General features: G+C 39.3%; 1 protein-coding gene across 1 annotated transcript; it reads right to left on the bottom strand.

Annotated features, from left to right (window-relative positions):
* Window positions 1-582: 582 nt before the first annotated feature.
* On the bottom strand, window positions 583-13,402 carry OR5AN1 (olfactory receptor family 5 subfamily AN member 1). Its single transcript, NM_001004729.2, has 2 exons — window positions 13,025-13,402; window positions 583-7,851 (listed from the first exon to the last, which is right to left on the bottom strand). The coding sequence occupies exon 2, from the start codon at window positions 7,836-7,838 to the stop codon at window positions 6,903-6,905; it is 936 nt and encodes a 311-aa protein (NP_001004729.1). The 5' UTR covers window positions 7,839-7,851; window positions 13,025-13,402; the 3' UTR covers window positions 583-6,902.
* Window positions 13,403-15,346: the final 1,944 nt, after the last annotated feature.

Raw genomic sequence — 15,346 nt, 5'->3', positions numbered from 1 at the left:
AGTGTCCCCTTTTTTCCAGGTACAGTCTGTCATGGCTTCCCTTGGCTAGGAAAGGGAAATCCCCTAACCCCTTGCACTTCTTAGGTGAGGCGATGCCCTACCCTGCGTTGGCTAGCCCTCCATGGGCTGCACCCACTGCCTAACCGTTCCCAATGAGATGAACCAGGTACCTCAGTTGGAAATGCAGAAATTACCCATCTTGTGTGTCGATCATGCTGGGAGCTGTAGACCAGAGCTGTTCCTGTTCAGCCATCTTGGAACAGAAGTCCACCATGCTTTTTTATTCCCTGGAGTTCAATCATCTTTTCTGTTTGGCCAGAACAAGGCATGTAGGCCAGAGGTAGATCATAGGGACAGAGGCTGGAGAATGGCAGTAATATTCATTTATGCCTTCTTTAGAAAGCGATTGCAAGAAACACATTCACCCATCCAAACTCAAAGAATGGAGTTGTAGACAAAAAGAACAGTGGAGGCAAGACTTTTAATGTCAGTCTTGCAAGATTGGGTGTCTGGTAGGCAAGCACACCCAGGGCAGTTACCAGTATTACTCTTTAATATGTTGCTCAAATTCTTTCCTTTATGACTTCATACCTTTATCTGTTGCCTATCCTATAATTTTTTCCAAATTTGTCCCTGGACCTTCCCTCAAGATGGGCTTAGCTAGACTACATGTGGCCTTGCCTTGTATTATAATTCATTTTACATCCTTTATTTGTAAGTTGTTGTTGTTGTTGTTTTCTCTGTTATTATAATGTCTCTGGCATAGGGAGGAGTCCTGGAAGCTGGAGCATAGATGCAGGTTAGCCTTAGCTGTACCGTAACTCCTTCTGCACAAATTGTGCTTTCAGCTTTGGTGGTAACAAATTTAAACATTCTGCAGTTTTCCAATCCTTATTTTGTCTTTTTTTTTCCCTAAGGTGGTGACCTATAGAGGTTCCTCTGAATTCCTCACCTTCACATATTCTGTTTCTTCTAACTTGCCATAACACAATCTTTCTCTCCAAATCAGTGAACATTTTTGCACTCATACTATGTTTTTGAGTACTGATTAAATAATTATGACCCAGCTACTCTATGTAATATTAAGCAGGGACACTATGCAAACATTAAAAATGTTTATCTTTATGTGCTGACCTGGAAGGCTATCTTTAGTGGAAAAAAAAAAACCAAGTTGCCAAATAGCATATTCAGAGAAAGTCTAGTCTTACCTTTGTTTAAAAGAAAAAGGAATACTCCACATACACACAAATATTAAAGCAAAAGAACCCAATTGTGTGTAGATAACACATGGACATGTGAAAAGAAAAAGCCTACAAGATAACAGCCTAGAGCTATCACAGAGGTTATCTCATGGTCCTTCTTGTGAATCCAAATGATGTAAAGCTTTGATCAAAAAAGATGTATATATACAGAATATTTTTCCAACAATTTTAAGGAGTTCAGGAACTCCTCTGATGTATCCTATTGGTTTTGTCTCTCTGGAGAACTCTGACTAACACGTTCATTCACTTGTCTTCACTGTGTTGCTGCAGCTCCTTAACTGGACTGCAGAGCCTTCCTATAGCAATTTTCATGCACAGATAGCTGTCCAGTTGTTTTCTGTGGGTGATGAGGGCTGAGATCCCTGACTCCCCATCTTGCTTATGTCACTTATATAGCTTCTGAATACATTGATATTTGTAAGGGCAAGAATATCTTGGATATACTTTGCTCTTTTCTGTATTAATTTCATAATCAACTTTTAGTTTCCACAAGCATGTTGTGATTTTGATTGGTATTTCACATAATTCATACATTAATTGGTTAGAATAGAAATTTTTACAATTTTGATTCTTTCAGTCTGTGACATTTGGCAGCAACAGTAACAAATCAGCCATGGAAGTTTCTCCTTCCCTTTATTTTGAGCCTGTGTGTGTCTTACATGTGAGACGGGTCTCTTGAAGACAGCATACCATTGGGTCTTCCTTTTTTATCCTGCTTGCCACTCTGTGCCTTTTTAGTGGGGCATTTAGCCCATTTACATTCAAGGTTAATACTGATATGTGTGCATTTGATTCTGTCATTGTGCTGTCAGCTGGTTATTATGTTTACTTGTTTGTGTGGTTGCTTCATAGTGACATTGGTTTCTGTGTTTAACTGTGTTTTTGTATTAGCTGGTAGCAGTTTTTCCTTTCTATATTTACTGCTCCTTTCAAGATCTCTTGTAAGGCAGGTCTGGTGGTAATGAAGTCCCTCAACATTTGCTTATCTGAGAAGGATTGTATTATTCCTTCACTTAGGAGCTTAGTTTGGCTAGATATGAAATTCTTGGTTGAAGACTATTTTCTTTAAGGATGTGGAAGACAAAACCCCAAACTCTTCTGGCTTGTAGGGTACCAGTGGAGAGGTCTGCTGTTAGCCTGACGGGGATCCCTTTGTAGATGACTCACCCTTTCCTTATAGCTGCCTTTAACATTCTTTTATTTTGACCTTGGAAAACATAATGATTATGTGTCTTGGTGATTATCTTCTTGTGTAGAATCTTGAAGGACTTCTCTGTATTTACTGAATTTGACTGTTGTCCTCTCTAGCAAGGTTGGGGATATTTTCATGGACAATATTCTGAAATATATTTTCCAAGTTGTTTTCTTCCTTCCCCTCCCTTTCAGTGATGTCAATTACTTGTAGATTTGGCCTGTTTACATAACCCATACTTCTTGGAGGCTTTGTTTATTTCTTTTTTTTTCTTTATTTGTGTCTGACTGTCTTATTTCAGAGAACCAGCATCAAGTTCTGAGATTGTTTCCTCAGCTTGGTTTATTCTGCTCTTAATACTTTTGATTGCATTGTGGAATTCTTGTATTGCGCTATTCAGCTCTGTCAGACCCACTAAGTGCTTTTTTATACTGGCTATTTTTCTTTCAGCTTCTGTGTCACTTTATTGTGATTCTTATTTTTCTTGGATTGGATTTTGCCATCCTCCTGAATTTCCATGATCTTTTTTTTTCTATCCATATTCTGAATTCTATTTCTGTCATTCTAGCCAGTTTGGCCTGGTTAAGGACCTTTGCTGGAGAACTGGTGTGATCATTTGGAGGACATATGATATTTTGGCCATTTGAGTTACCAGAGTTCTTACATTGTTTTTTTTTTCTCATCTCTGCATGTGGGTGTTTCTTTAACTGCAGAGTAGTTTGAGTATAGTCAATCAACTTATTTTCTGGATGTTTTCACTGGGCCAAGGCTTTGTGTAGGGTCTGTGTTTGATGCTCACTTCTTATCTCTTGTTTCAGAGGGGGATATATTAGTGAGATATTTTTGGTGTTGAAGTTTTGAGGTGTGATTCAGTAGGTGATACCTAGGCTTACAGGACAGCTGGAAGACTCTTGTTCTGTTGTGTGGCTCCCCTATGTTTCCTCACATTTGCAGCTGTGTTCCCTCTCAGTGCTCAGAACGTGTGGTTTCCTCTCCCCCTGAGTGCTGCCTGTAGTTCCTGATTCAGCACTCCTGGGCTGCCTGCTGCAGCTCTGGGGAGATCTTTGTGTTTACGTTCCTTCCCCAGCTTAGAGACAGCAGTGGAAGAGATCTTCGTAATGGTTGTGGCTAAGGGTCATTTGTTTGACTCCTGGGGGCTCCACCCCAGAGAGATGCAGGTCAGCAATCGCTCAGTGCAGCCAGCCCAAGATAGAGGGTATGTGTTGTGGGCCCAAGCCAGGGGTTCTTTGTCTGGTGATGAGTGGTGGGGGGTGTGTGGGACCCGTGGGAGACAGACCAGCCTCTTCTCCTTGGGTTGACTACAGATTATTAGAGGTGTGGATAAAGCACTTAGTGTCTTTGCTCATTCATTAGTTGGAGCGTGTCAAGGGCAGTTCCACTGCAGAGGCAGTGGCATAGAAACTTTCTGTTGACCTCGGAAGCTCTGTCTAGGGAGTTGGTGATTTGATACTGGCTTGATAGTTCTGGCTGGTGGTGGCTGGAAGCCCAGGCCTGAAGATCTTCCTGGTGAGAAGATATGGGAATGGAAACCCACGAAACACTCTGGCCACTTTTCCATAGGGCTGCTGTTTTATGCTTGGGGGCTGCTCCAGTACCTGGTCACCTCAGATTTCCCAGAACCTGGAGGTGTCACCAGTGAAGGCTGTGAAACAGCAAAGACAGTGGCTTGTCCCTTCCTCTGAGAGCTTTGTCCCAGGGAGGTATGCAGTTTTGGTGGCCCAAAGCAGCTGTAGGAAGTGGCTGGAGAGCCTAGTTGAGAGGTTCCACCCAGTGAGGAGGAACAGGATTAGGAACCACTTGAAAAAGCAGTCTGGCCACGTTTTGGTAGAACAGCTGTGCTGTGTTGGGGGTCTACTTCAGTCCTCAGTCGTCTCAGATACTTCAAAGCCCAAAGGCTGGAGTTGCTAAGTCATTAAAACAGCAAAGATGGTAACCCACTTCTCCCTCTGTGAGTGCCATCTCAGGGATAATTCAAATCTTTGTCACCTGGAGAGCTTGGTGGGGGTGGCTGCAGGCCCCAGTTGGGAGGTCCTGCCCAGTGAAGAGGAATGGGATTGGACACCCACCTAAAGCATAGTCTGGCTATGTTTGGGTAGAGCAGCTGTGTTGTGCTAGGCTGGGGGTTCTCTTCCACCCTGGGTCAGCTCAGATTCTTCAAAGCCCAAAGGCCGGAACAGCTAAGGCATCTGAACAGCAAAGATGACAGCCCAGCTCTTCCCTTTGAGCTCCTTCTTAGGGAGGTACAATGCCACTACTGGTAGCTGTCTGGAATTCCAAGCCAGTGGATCTTATCTTGTGAGGTGGCATGGAAGTGGGGCCTGTGGGTTGTTGCTGTTAACACCCCTGGATTCAGCCTCTTTCCTAGGGTTATATACAGGAGTCTAACCTCCAACTTTGCTGGGGCTGCAGCTACTTTTACCAGAAAACCCAAGTATCTAAGCCTTCGAGGACTCCATGCTGGCCTGAGTGGCTGCTCTGCCAAGACTCCACATAGCTCTGTGTATTAGACTGAAGACTGAAAGCCCTGGTGGAGTGGGTTCACAAGGAGATCTCCTGACTTGAGGGTTGCAAAGACCTAATGCTCACCCCTTCTGTTCCTTTCCATGACAGCCACACACACTAGCTGCTTCTGGTCAGCCATCTTGCCCACTCCTCCACTTCTCCTCTAGTTTTCTTAAGGTTTGAATTGGCATTCTTTTTTCAATTTTTTTCTGATTCACAGCTTTGTTACTTTATTGTATTTCTTTTCAAAAGATTGTTACTTCTGATTTTAGCTTTGGCTACATCTCATAAATATTGCTTTATTTTATTCATATGTACCTTGTATATTAATAAGCAATTTGGCACCTTATACATTAAGGGGTATTGAAGAAGGGAGGAGGCTTTGATATCTGCAATGTTAGTTTGGATTCCCACCCCTTCACTTACTAGCTGTGTTTCTGAATTTCTCTGGCCTAAGTTTATTCATCTGTGAAGTTGGTATAACAGTAAAACTTAGCTCAACTGAAACCATTTAAATTCTTTGAACATAGAAAGCACTTAATAAATAATAATACATGATTCACGTATAGCGTTTATTATATGCTGGGGTCCCTATTCTGAGTTTTGAATAAGTATCAGCTCAATAATCCTAAACAACTCCAAAATAGATATATAATATCTCAATTTTACAAATGAGAAAACTGAGGCACAAAAGATTGTGTGGCTTGCCCAGCATCACACACCTTGGGGGTGGCAGAGCCTGAATTTTACGCCAGGCAGTTTGGACAAGGAGAAAATTTTTAATTTTAAATTATGAAGTATATTGGTTAACTACTGCTGTATAACAAACTGCAAAATCCAGTGCTGACTGCAACATTCATTTATTATCACTCACATATCCTCAGATCATCTGGAGATCAGCTGGGACTGGCTGATGTAGAGTAGGCTTAAATGCATGACTTCTCTGAACATGACTGCAGGTTAGCTTGTCTAGGTTGAGCTTGACTGAAATATATTTGACCCATGTTTCTTTCATCCTCTCCTGGATTCAATAGTTACCCAGTCAAACAAGAGTAAATTTTCTAAATTTAATGGGGGAGAAAAAGAAAGTTTGAGTCCCACAGTATCAGATGTTGCTATTGGCTGTGAACTTTGAATATCATCTCCATTATAATTTCCCACTAGACTCTAGATACAAGAAATCAAATCATCAGACTCATAAGTAAATATGATTGCAGGAACCATATCCTTGTTTCTATCCCACTTCATGATTAAAATCACCTCCTTCTTTCTTATGCTACAGCTGGTGTAGGCAAGGAAATTGCCAAAAATGTATTAGATGATTAGCTGAGAGAGGTCTTAGGCAAACTGCAGCTATCTCATGTTGCTCTTTCTTAAAGACACAACCAGGCCAATATATTGCTTTTTTTTCCCTTTCCAATGGCAGAACCCCTCTGTCTGTTTATTCTTTCCCATCCAGAAACACAGAATAAACAATGGTTACCACCATGTCTTTATTATGCTGTATCAGCATATATGGGAGATGATGTTTCTGAACTCCTGGGGGTCTGTGCCAGGCCTCATTTCTGTAGTGGCAAAGTCCTAACATTGAGCCATCTTTGATCTGAGAAGCCACAGGAAACAAAAGATTTCTAAATCTTGTTGTTTCACAAATAATTTTGGACAAATTCATAAATGATGAGGCCACATTATTTATCCTGATGTAGGATAAAAATAATGAACCTCCAGGACCTAAAGATCCTGATGTCTGTGGCATTGAGTCATCTGTTGGTCCATATTGGCATATTTTGTGCATCAAATCAAGCCTTCTTTGTCCAAAGGCAGTAGGCAGCATGAATTTTGTTATAGTCCATTCATTATCATATTTTGTGGGTTAGGGAGATTCTGATGGGCCATATCTGGCAGAAATCTCAGAATCTGTAAACTCAGCAGCACTTTCTCTTTTGCAACCTCTTTAAGGCATCTTTAATTTCTTTGTTCCTCAAACTGTAAATCAAGGGATTTAACATGGGAATGACCACAGTGTAGAAAACAGATGCAAATCTGTCAAAGCTTGAAGAACCTCCAGAGCTGGAACTCAAATAGACAAAGATTCCTGATGTATAGAAGAGGGAAACAGCTGTTAGATGAGAAGCACAGGTGTTGAATGCCTTGGACCTGCCTTTAGCTGAAGTGATCTTCATGATGGAGATGCCAATATAGCCATAGGATATCATGATAACTAGGGCACTTGCTATCCCAAAGAACATGGTTAATATAGCAGTCATGACCTGTACAAAGAAAGTGTCAGTACAGGACAAGATTAACAGTTGGGGCATGTCACAGAAGAAATGTCTGATGACATTAGACCCACAGAAGTGGAGTTGAAGCAAAGCACCAATTTGGAATAAAGAAGCAGTGAGGCCAGTCATGTAGGCTCCCAGTACCATCCAAACACAGAGGGTGGGTGACATGATGGATGAATAGAGCAGGGGGTTACAAATGGCAGCATAACGATCATAAGCCATGGCTGTCATGAGACAAGACTCACTCAGTCCCATCGTTGAAAAGATAAAGTACTGAATAATACAACCAACAAAAGTGATAGTTTGCTGTTCCTGTAAGAGGTTGGAGAGCATCTTGGGGACTGTGGAGCTGATATAGCAGACATCTATGAAGGACAGGTTACTGAGGAAGAAATACATGGGTGTATGGAGGTGGGAATCCATCCTTATTAAAACAATGAGGGAGAGGTTCCAGGCCAGAGATGTAATGTAGATCACCAGGAATATAGTGAAGAGCACTTTTATGATCCTGGGAAAATCTGAGAATCCCAGCAGGATGAAATAGGTGATTTCTGTAATATTTCCTCCCCCAGTCATTGGCTCAGTGCTCCTAATATCAGAAAGGAGACAAGAGAATGGATTGCTAACTCAGTTGAAGTGATAACATTACCGTCTTCATATGTGTACATCTTTTCTTCCAACAAGCACTGGAAATGGACAAATGTTTCACTCTTCTGATGGAAAGACCCCAGCCTTTCTTGAATTGTCAGCATGTACCTGCACAATGCTTCAGGTTCTTGATTAATTCATGGAGTATCATGAGAATTAAAAATATATTTTAAAAGTTGACTGGTAATTTTTAAAAAATATGCTATAGAAATGCTGAGAGTATTACGTATAAGGTAAAGATCACTAATTAAGATAATAGTTTTTCTTCAAAAAGACCTCTGGTGATTCATTATATAACTGTTGCTTTAAAATTATGAAAGCTTAGGCTGGGCGTAGTGGCTCATGCCTGTAATCCTAGCACCTGGGGAGGCTGAGGTGGGTGGATCACCTGAGATCAGGAGTTTGAGACCAGCCTGGCCAAAATGGCAAAACCCCATCTCTACTAAAAATACAAAAATTAGCTGGGCGTGGTTGCACAGACCTGTAATCCCAGTTACTCCTGAGGCTGAGGCAGGAGAATCACTTGAACCCAGGAGGCAGAGGTTGCAGTGAGGTGAGATCATGCTGCTGCTCTCCAGCCTAGGCAACAGAGTGAGACTCTGTTTCAACAACAACAACAAAAATTATGAAAGTTTAAATGGCATCCTTCCAAAATATATTTGATGGACAACAGTCCTGCCCTGGATTGTTATCTAAGTAGATTTAAAATACTTTTTATTTTACCCTTTAGAAAAATTGCTTTCCCTGTTTATAATAACTTCTCCTATTTTAATAAAAATGTATTTAATATAACATATCCAAACTGGCCTTAACAATAATATCATAAATTCTGATAATATTTTGAGGCAGACAGAGCGTGGGTGTCCAATAAAGTTTTGGAATAAGTTTTCTCAGGGAAGCCTTAATACAAAGCATTCCAGAAGGAGGCTAGTGCAGCTCACTCTTGGCCCCAACTATTGTCTCAATTTTAGAGTATCTGGGAAACAGCATAGTAATGTGGCTAAGGGTTCAGACTTTGGAGTTTATTTCCAATACCTTCTTCTTCTATTAACTTGTACCAGTGACATAAAAACATTAAGCTTAATTTACTACTAATAATGTAAGGACAATAAAAGCTTCTAACTTCCCAGGTTACTGGGAAGGCTGTAAGTGAAAATTCATGCAAAAACTTAGCACACATTTACGTATACAGCAATTGTTCAACAGAGAATGGCTATTGTTATCATGGACTGCTTACAGATAATCATGAGTGACAGGTATACCTGTGGGTAGGAATGTGAAAAGTAATATTTTCATGGGTTAATTTGAGGAAATTCATGAGACAACATCAGCCCTATAGACAGCCAGGCCTCATTGCCTCCAGGCAGGTGTAGATTGAGACCTAGTGTCCATGCCAGTCAAGCCACCTAGAGCCATAATGATATAAGCCATTTTTTCTTCAGTTTGCTTGACTTTGGGTACACTAGGTCAGTGGAAAACCAGCATCAAATTATGATGGATCTTGAACTAGGAAAAAGGTCAAAGTAAATATTTCAATTCTCTAATAATACAGAGGTATATCTTTTTATTTTTTGGTAGATTCAATCAGCAAGTCAGAGCTTACCAACAGACTTATAGTATTAGGTTGGTGTAAAAGTAATTGCAGCAACCAAAGGTATGCATAGATAGTGTACATTCACTCTGCTCCATACTCAGACTGTCCTTTCTTGAGATCAAAGAGCAAACCAATGATAGATAATAGCCAAGACAATTTTGAAAAAGATGAATAATTAGAAAGGATTTTAACTTTCAGATATTAAAAAGTATTTTGAACATTGATAATTCATTATTCTTATAATAATAGACATGCCAAAAGAACAAATAAAAATTTCATAAATAAATGTGTGTTGGTAAGAATTTTATATATGAAAAAGTATTTTTGGTTGACAGTGAAAGAACAAACTCTTCTATAAATGGTCTGTGAGACCTGCCTCACTATGGGTAAAAGAGTATTTGAGGAATAAATAGATGTGTATTTATATAATCTTGGGATGGAAGTGATATTCCTGAAAAATAACACTAAAACAGAAATTATAAGAGAAAAAATATGGCAAAGCAATTTAAAACTTGGTTACGGCAGAAAAACTCTTACATAAAGCATATTTGAAAGACAGTTGATGAATGGGGGAAAATAGTGATAAGACAGAAAAAGACAATATAATTATTACCTTAATATATAAGATATTGCATAAATCAGTAAGGAATGGGCACTCATATGACCACTGATGAGTGCACAAGGTAATTCTACTTTTCTGGAGAAAAATTATGTGCTTTTTATAAACTCTTTTGCATGCATGAGCTCTCTCTCCAATCCCCCGCTCTCTTCTCTCTCTCTGTCACACACACACACACACACACACACAAACACACACACACTCCTTACAAACCATTTATAATGTCAAACATTAAAATTAATGGATGGTATCATTTTGATTTTCTTCTTTATACTTATCTGTATTCTCTTGTTTTCCTACAGCTTCTGCATTTATGATAAAAATATTATTAAATGTAAAAATCATTAATAGGGTGGAGAAAGGGGGAGAAGAAGGAAGAGAGAGAGAGGACAGAGAAAAAGGGGGAGAAAGAGATAGAATGTGAGAGAGTAGACTTTCCTGAATCTTACTTGCAGGCTGTGCGATGTTTAGCACATGATTAACTTCTCTTTACCTCAGTTGCTTCATCTATATGTGAAGCTGATAATCATTAAACCTCAAAGCGTTGTTGCAAGGATGGAAATGACATAAAGGGCTTAAAACAATAAGGCCTCAGCCAGACGCGGTGGCTCAGACCTATAATCCCAGCACTATGGGAGGCCGAGGCAGGTGGATTGCCTGAGGTCAGGAGTTTGAGACCAGTCTGGCTAACATGGTAAAGCTCCTCCTCTTTGAAAAATACAAAAATTAGCCAGGCTTTGTGGCGCACGCCTGTAGTCCCACCTACTTGGGAGGCTGAGAAGGGGAATTGCTTGAACCTGGGAAGCAGAGGTTGCAGTGAACCGAGATTGTGCCACTGCACTCCAGCCTGGGCAACAGAGCGAGACTCCTCAAAACAAAAAACAAAAACACTAAGGCCTCAAAAAATGTTAGCAATGATCATTCCCATCATCACTTCTCTCTTAAAGGGGAATAAAGGAAGAACTAGTACTGAAGTATCAAGGACCTCTTAATAAAATTATTTATGATTTCTAAACCAGACTAAAGATATTGTTGACAAATGATTGTACTTCTTTCTATCTTGTAGTATTGTGTTATCTCCCACACAGCTGAATTGTCAACTCCTGATGCTGCTTTTTGTTCCAGTACCACCAAGTACCCTCAAGCTGAGAAAGCTGACTATACAGAGCACACCTATAAGTAGAGACGTTTGGTTACTTAATGCTAAGCATTGTATATACTAATATTTGCAGAACTCAACAAGTTTGTGTCTAACACATTAATAAATGGTTCTTTCACTCAGGCTTGGATGTCAAACTAAGAAAATCTTATTTTTATTTCCATTATGGTTTTGTTAACTTGGAAATCTTTCTGTTTACTCTTAGAATAGCCATAAAAAGGAATGAGATCATGTCCTTTGCAGGGACATGGATGGAGCTGGAAGCCATCATCCTCAGCAAACGAATGCAGAGTCATTATCCTCAGCAAATTAGTGCAGGAACAGAAAACCAAACACTATATCTTCTCACTTACAAGTGGGAGCTGAACTATGAGGACACATGGATACAGTGAGAGGAGTAACACACACTGGGGCCTGTCAGGGGGTGGAGTGAGGGGAGGGAGAGCATTAGGAAAAATAGCTAATGCATGCTGGGCTTAATACTTAGGTGATGGGTTGATAGGCGCAGAAAACCACCATGAAACACATTTACCTATGTAGCAAACCTGAACATCATGCACAAGTACCCCAGAACTTAAAATAAAAATAAAAATGAAAAAAAGATTCAAAAATAAAAAAACCCTCTAATACAATATCTCAGATATGTTATCCAAGGTGAGTTAGATTTAATGGAAATATTTTTAAAATATAAGCTCTCACAGATAACATCCCCCAAACATGAATATAACTGGTCAATTCAGTGACAATAAGTCAAATTGTTGATCAATTGGTTGCACTGAAACTCTTTACTTTTTTATTACATTCTGGTGACACAGGCAGACATAATTAAATGTACTCTATGTAATCTACCATTTCCAGTAAAGAACAAGGAGTTGTGGATTGCTTTTCTTATTCATGATAAAATTTATCCTGAAAACTTACCTTGTTGACATTTGATAAGCTAGAGAAAAAGAGAAAAAACTCTGGATACATTCACTCTCTTTGATTAATTCCTTGCATATGTTCACCATCTCCTGAGACAATTCGCATAGGAAAAGATAATTGATGTAAAGATAGGTTAAAGATTTTACTAGATGAATATAGGTGATCAAAATCCTATCCAGTGCTAATCTAATAAGGACATGGTCAGTTTGCAAAGTTGTGCAGGGTACAAAATCAGGTAAACCCAGAAACGTTGCTCAATAAAGAACAATATATGTACAAGAAGATTACAAAGAATATTTAAAGCAACACTTCTTGTGCTTGGAGTGGGTATCTCTGATATCTGTGTTGCCCAGGACAGTGTCTTCAGATCCCAGGGTCTCCAAAAATTACAACAGAGAGCAATTTGAAGTATTTCAGAAGTTCTAACAGCCTTATATAGGAGTACTCCGTCATATCATTAAGACTCAGTGTGTCTCTTGCTATTCAGAGATCATAAATCAAAGCTATGTATTTAAACAGAATCAAGTTAATTATTAGCATTTTGAAAACAGAATCCTGAAGAGCAAAAATTAAATTAAAAGGGTCCTTGGGGTGGAGAAAACTGGGAAACATACCCAAGCAGGTTTTGATCTGAGGAAATTCCTCTGAAACTCAGTAAATTACTATTTTTGATGCATTTTTCAGGCTTTATAGACAACATATATTTGACTGTAGTTTATCCCAACATCCCCATTTTACAGGTGAAAAAGAAGAAGATAGCAGTGTTCAAGGTCACATCCTTAAGAATTCAATACCCATCCCTCACTCCAGAATAATACCTGAAATTTTATGTTTGAGGTTTTTCTTTTTACAGAAGGTTGAGTAAGGAGTAAGAGAATCCAACGAAGAGCTTTAGGTACAGAATGTGGAAGTGAGGAAGTGGGAAGAGTTGAAGAATGAGAGAGACTGAGGACCATAAACTCTGTTCCATGTGTATCCTTACTGGAAGAATTACATGGATATTGAGACGGTACAGAATCCACTGTTCTAAGTCTTGTCCTGTGACCTTTACCCAGGTCCTCCAAGAAGACAGGGTTCTTGCCAAAGGTTGAAATTGCTTATTTCTTTTCCAATGGAATTTTTCAGGTGGGCGTATCACACTCCAAGATGGGCATGTTTGACCACAAAATTGGCTGTCCACTCACAGCAAGAGAGATGGCCTCAAGTGGGGATCATTTTAAATGTGTCTCTGAGAGCAGAGATGAAAGGAGAAAAGCCAATTAGAGAGAGAAAGCATGCCAGGTACTTGCTCTCTGGTGCCATGGTTGTCATGGAGTTTTTGTCCCTGCTGATCTCACGCCCCACTTTGCTATGTGGGTCAATTCCCTATTTCCCTATCGTCTTATCATGATGTCAGGATTGCAACTTTTTACAAAACTTGAAGTCATTGGAGTTGGAAAGAAGATAGGGACCATCTAGTCCAAAACTCTCAATTTCTGGGTGAAAAATCTGAGACCAGAGTGCTGAAGAGTTTGCCCAAGATGACGCCCTAGCCAGTAATATAGCTTGATAGCAATAAATTTGATATGTGCATGCTTCTCTGCTTACAAAACACTTTCATTCTAGGCAATTACATACATATTTCCTCAAATACCTGACTTGAGTCAATTATCACAGCAGTCCTGCAAGGCAGACATGGCATTATTTCCCATGCATAAGTGAGGAAATTGAGGCACTAAGGAATACAATAAGATTAATTCATAACAAAGCCATGGCTTCTCATGGTTATGACTGTGGGTATTGATATCATACAATTTGGGTTGAATTTTGGCTGGCCACTTGCTACTTGTGTGACCTTGAGCAAATTAACCTCTCTAAGCCTCAGTGTTTTCACCTGTAAAATGGGGCTAACAGTAATAGCTACTTCACAGGGTAGGTTTTCATTGAGAATTAAATTGGATAAAGACTATAAAGCACTTATCAGAGTATGTAGTATAAATCATGCTTTCTGTTTAATAGTAGATATAACTTACATGTTTTGATTTGGAGATCTTTCCAACATATTATGCTGTATTTCTATCCTTTGTTAAAATTCTTCATTAAAAATATCTACTTATGGTCATTTCTACAAACATTTTGGGTTTATTTGGGGGTGGGGAGAGGAAGCTCATTTATCTTTGCAGTTGCAAGGGATATAGAAATGTTTTGGACAAGGTCCCATTCTCAGTTTGATCTACCTCAGCAAATCTTACTTAAAGGAAGAAATGGATGGGTGGTGGCAATAAGTTAATGATCTAACTCTTGTTAATGAATGAGTACTGATATGTTTTCCTCCCATAAGGACTATAAGAATACAATCCCTTAAACTGAATAGCTTTTTTAAAAAAATAAATTTTATTGTATATAATCAAAGTGTACAACATGATGTTATAACATACATATCGACAGTAAAGTGGTTACTATAGTGAAGCAAATTAACATATCCATCATTGCACATAGTTACCCAGTTTGTGTGTGTGTGTGTGGCAAGGGCAGCTAAAGTCTCATTTAGCAAAAACCCTAAGTACAATAGTATTAACTATAGATTTCACTTATATGTGGAATCTTAAAATAAATAGCTTCTTAAGATTTGCTGTTATTTTTAAGAATAACACCAAAAGTATGGAGTTTAGGCACAGTGGCTAACCAATAGTGGGATTATTTTGGACCAATAAGAACTATTATATTCCATAACTCACACTTTGTGAGGTTTGAGATATATTGTTACCTACAATGAGAAGAGGATGACAGGCCTCAGTATACCTAAATATTCCATCTGCAATCGGGATAATTTCTCACCTGCCAATCTCATGTGGGTATAGGAAAAATCAAATCTATGTGATGCAACTACATGAAGTGTTGTAAAATGTTGTATAAATGCTAATGTAATATCAATGAAATTTAGTACATAAACTCTAGACTAGAGAAATATCTCTTACACATTTAAAAAAGTTATCTCGGTCAGTCTCCGAGCCTCCATGATACCCCTAGATCTGGTGCTTCTGCTGCTCCCTGGTCAAACTTAAGGCCCTGGAATCCCTGGGAGGCTCAGGCCTCAGGTACTTGGGTCCATCCTCGCTACACATACCATGATAGCCATCATTTCTGAGGTTTTGCGCAGT

This window comes from Homo sapiens, chromosome 11 (genome assembly GCF_000001405.40).
Source record: "Homo sapiens chromosome 11, GRCh38.p14 Primary Assembly".
In the NCBI taxonomy this organism is placed as follows: domain Eukaryota; kingdom Metazoa; phylum Chordata; class Mammalia; order Primates; family Hominidae; genus Homo; species Homo sapiens.
Note: the sequence above shows the minus strand (reverse complement) of the source record. Positions and strands in the feature narration are given on the sequence as shown.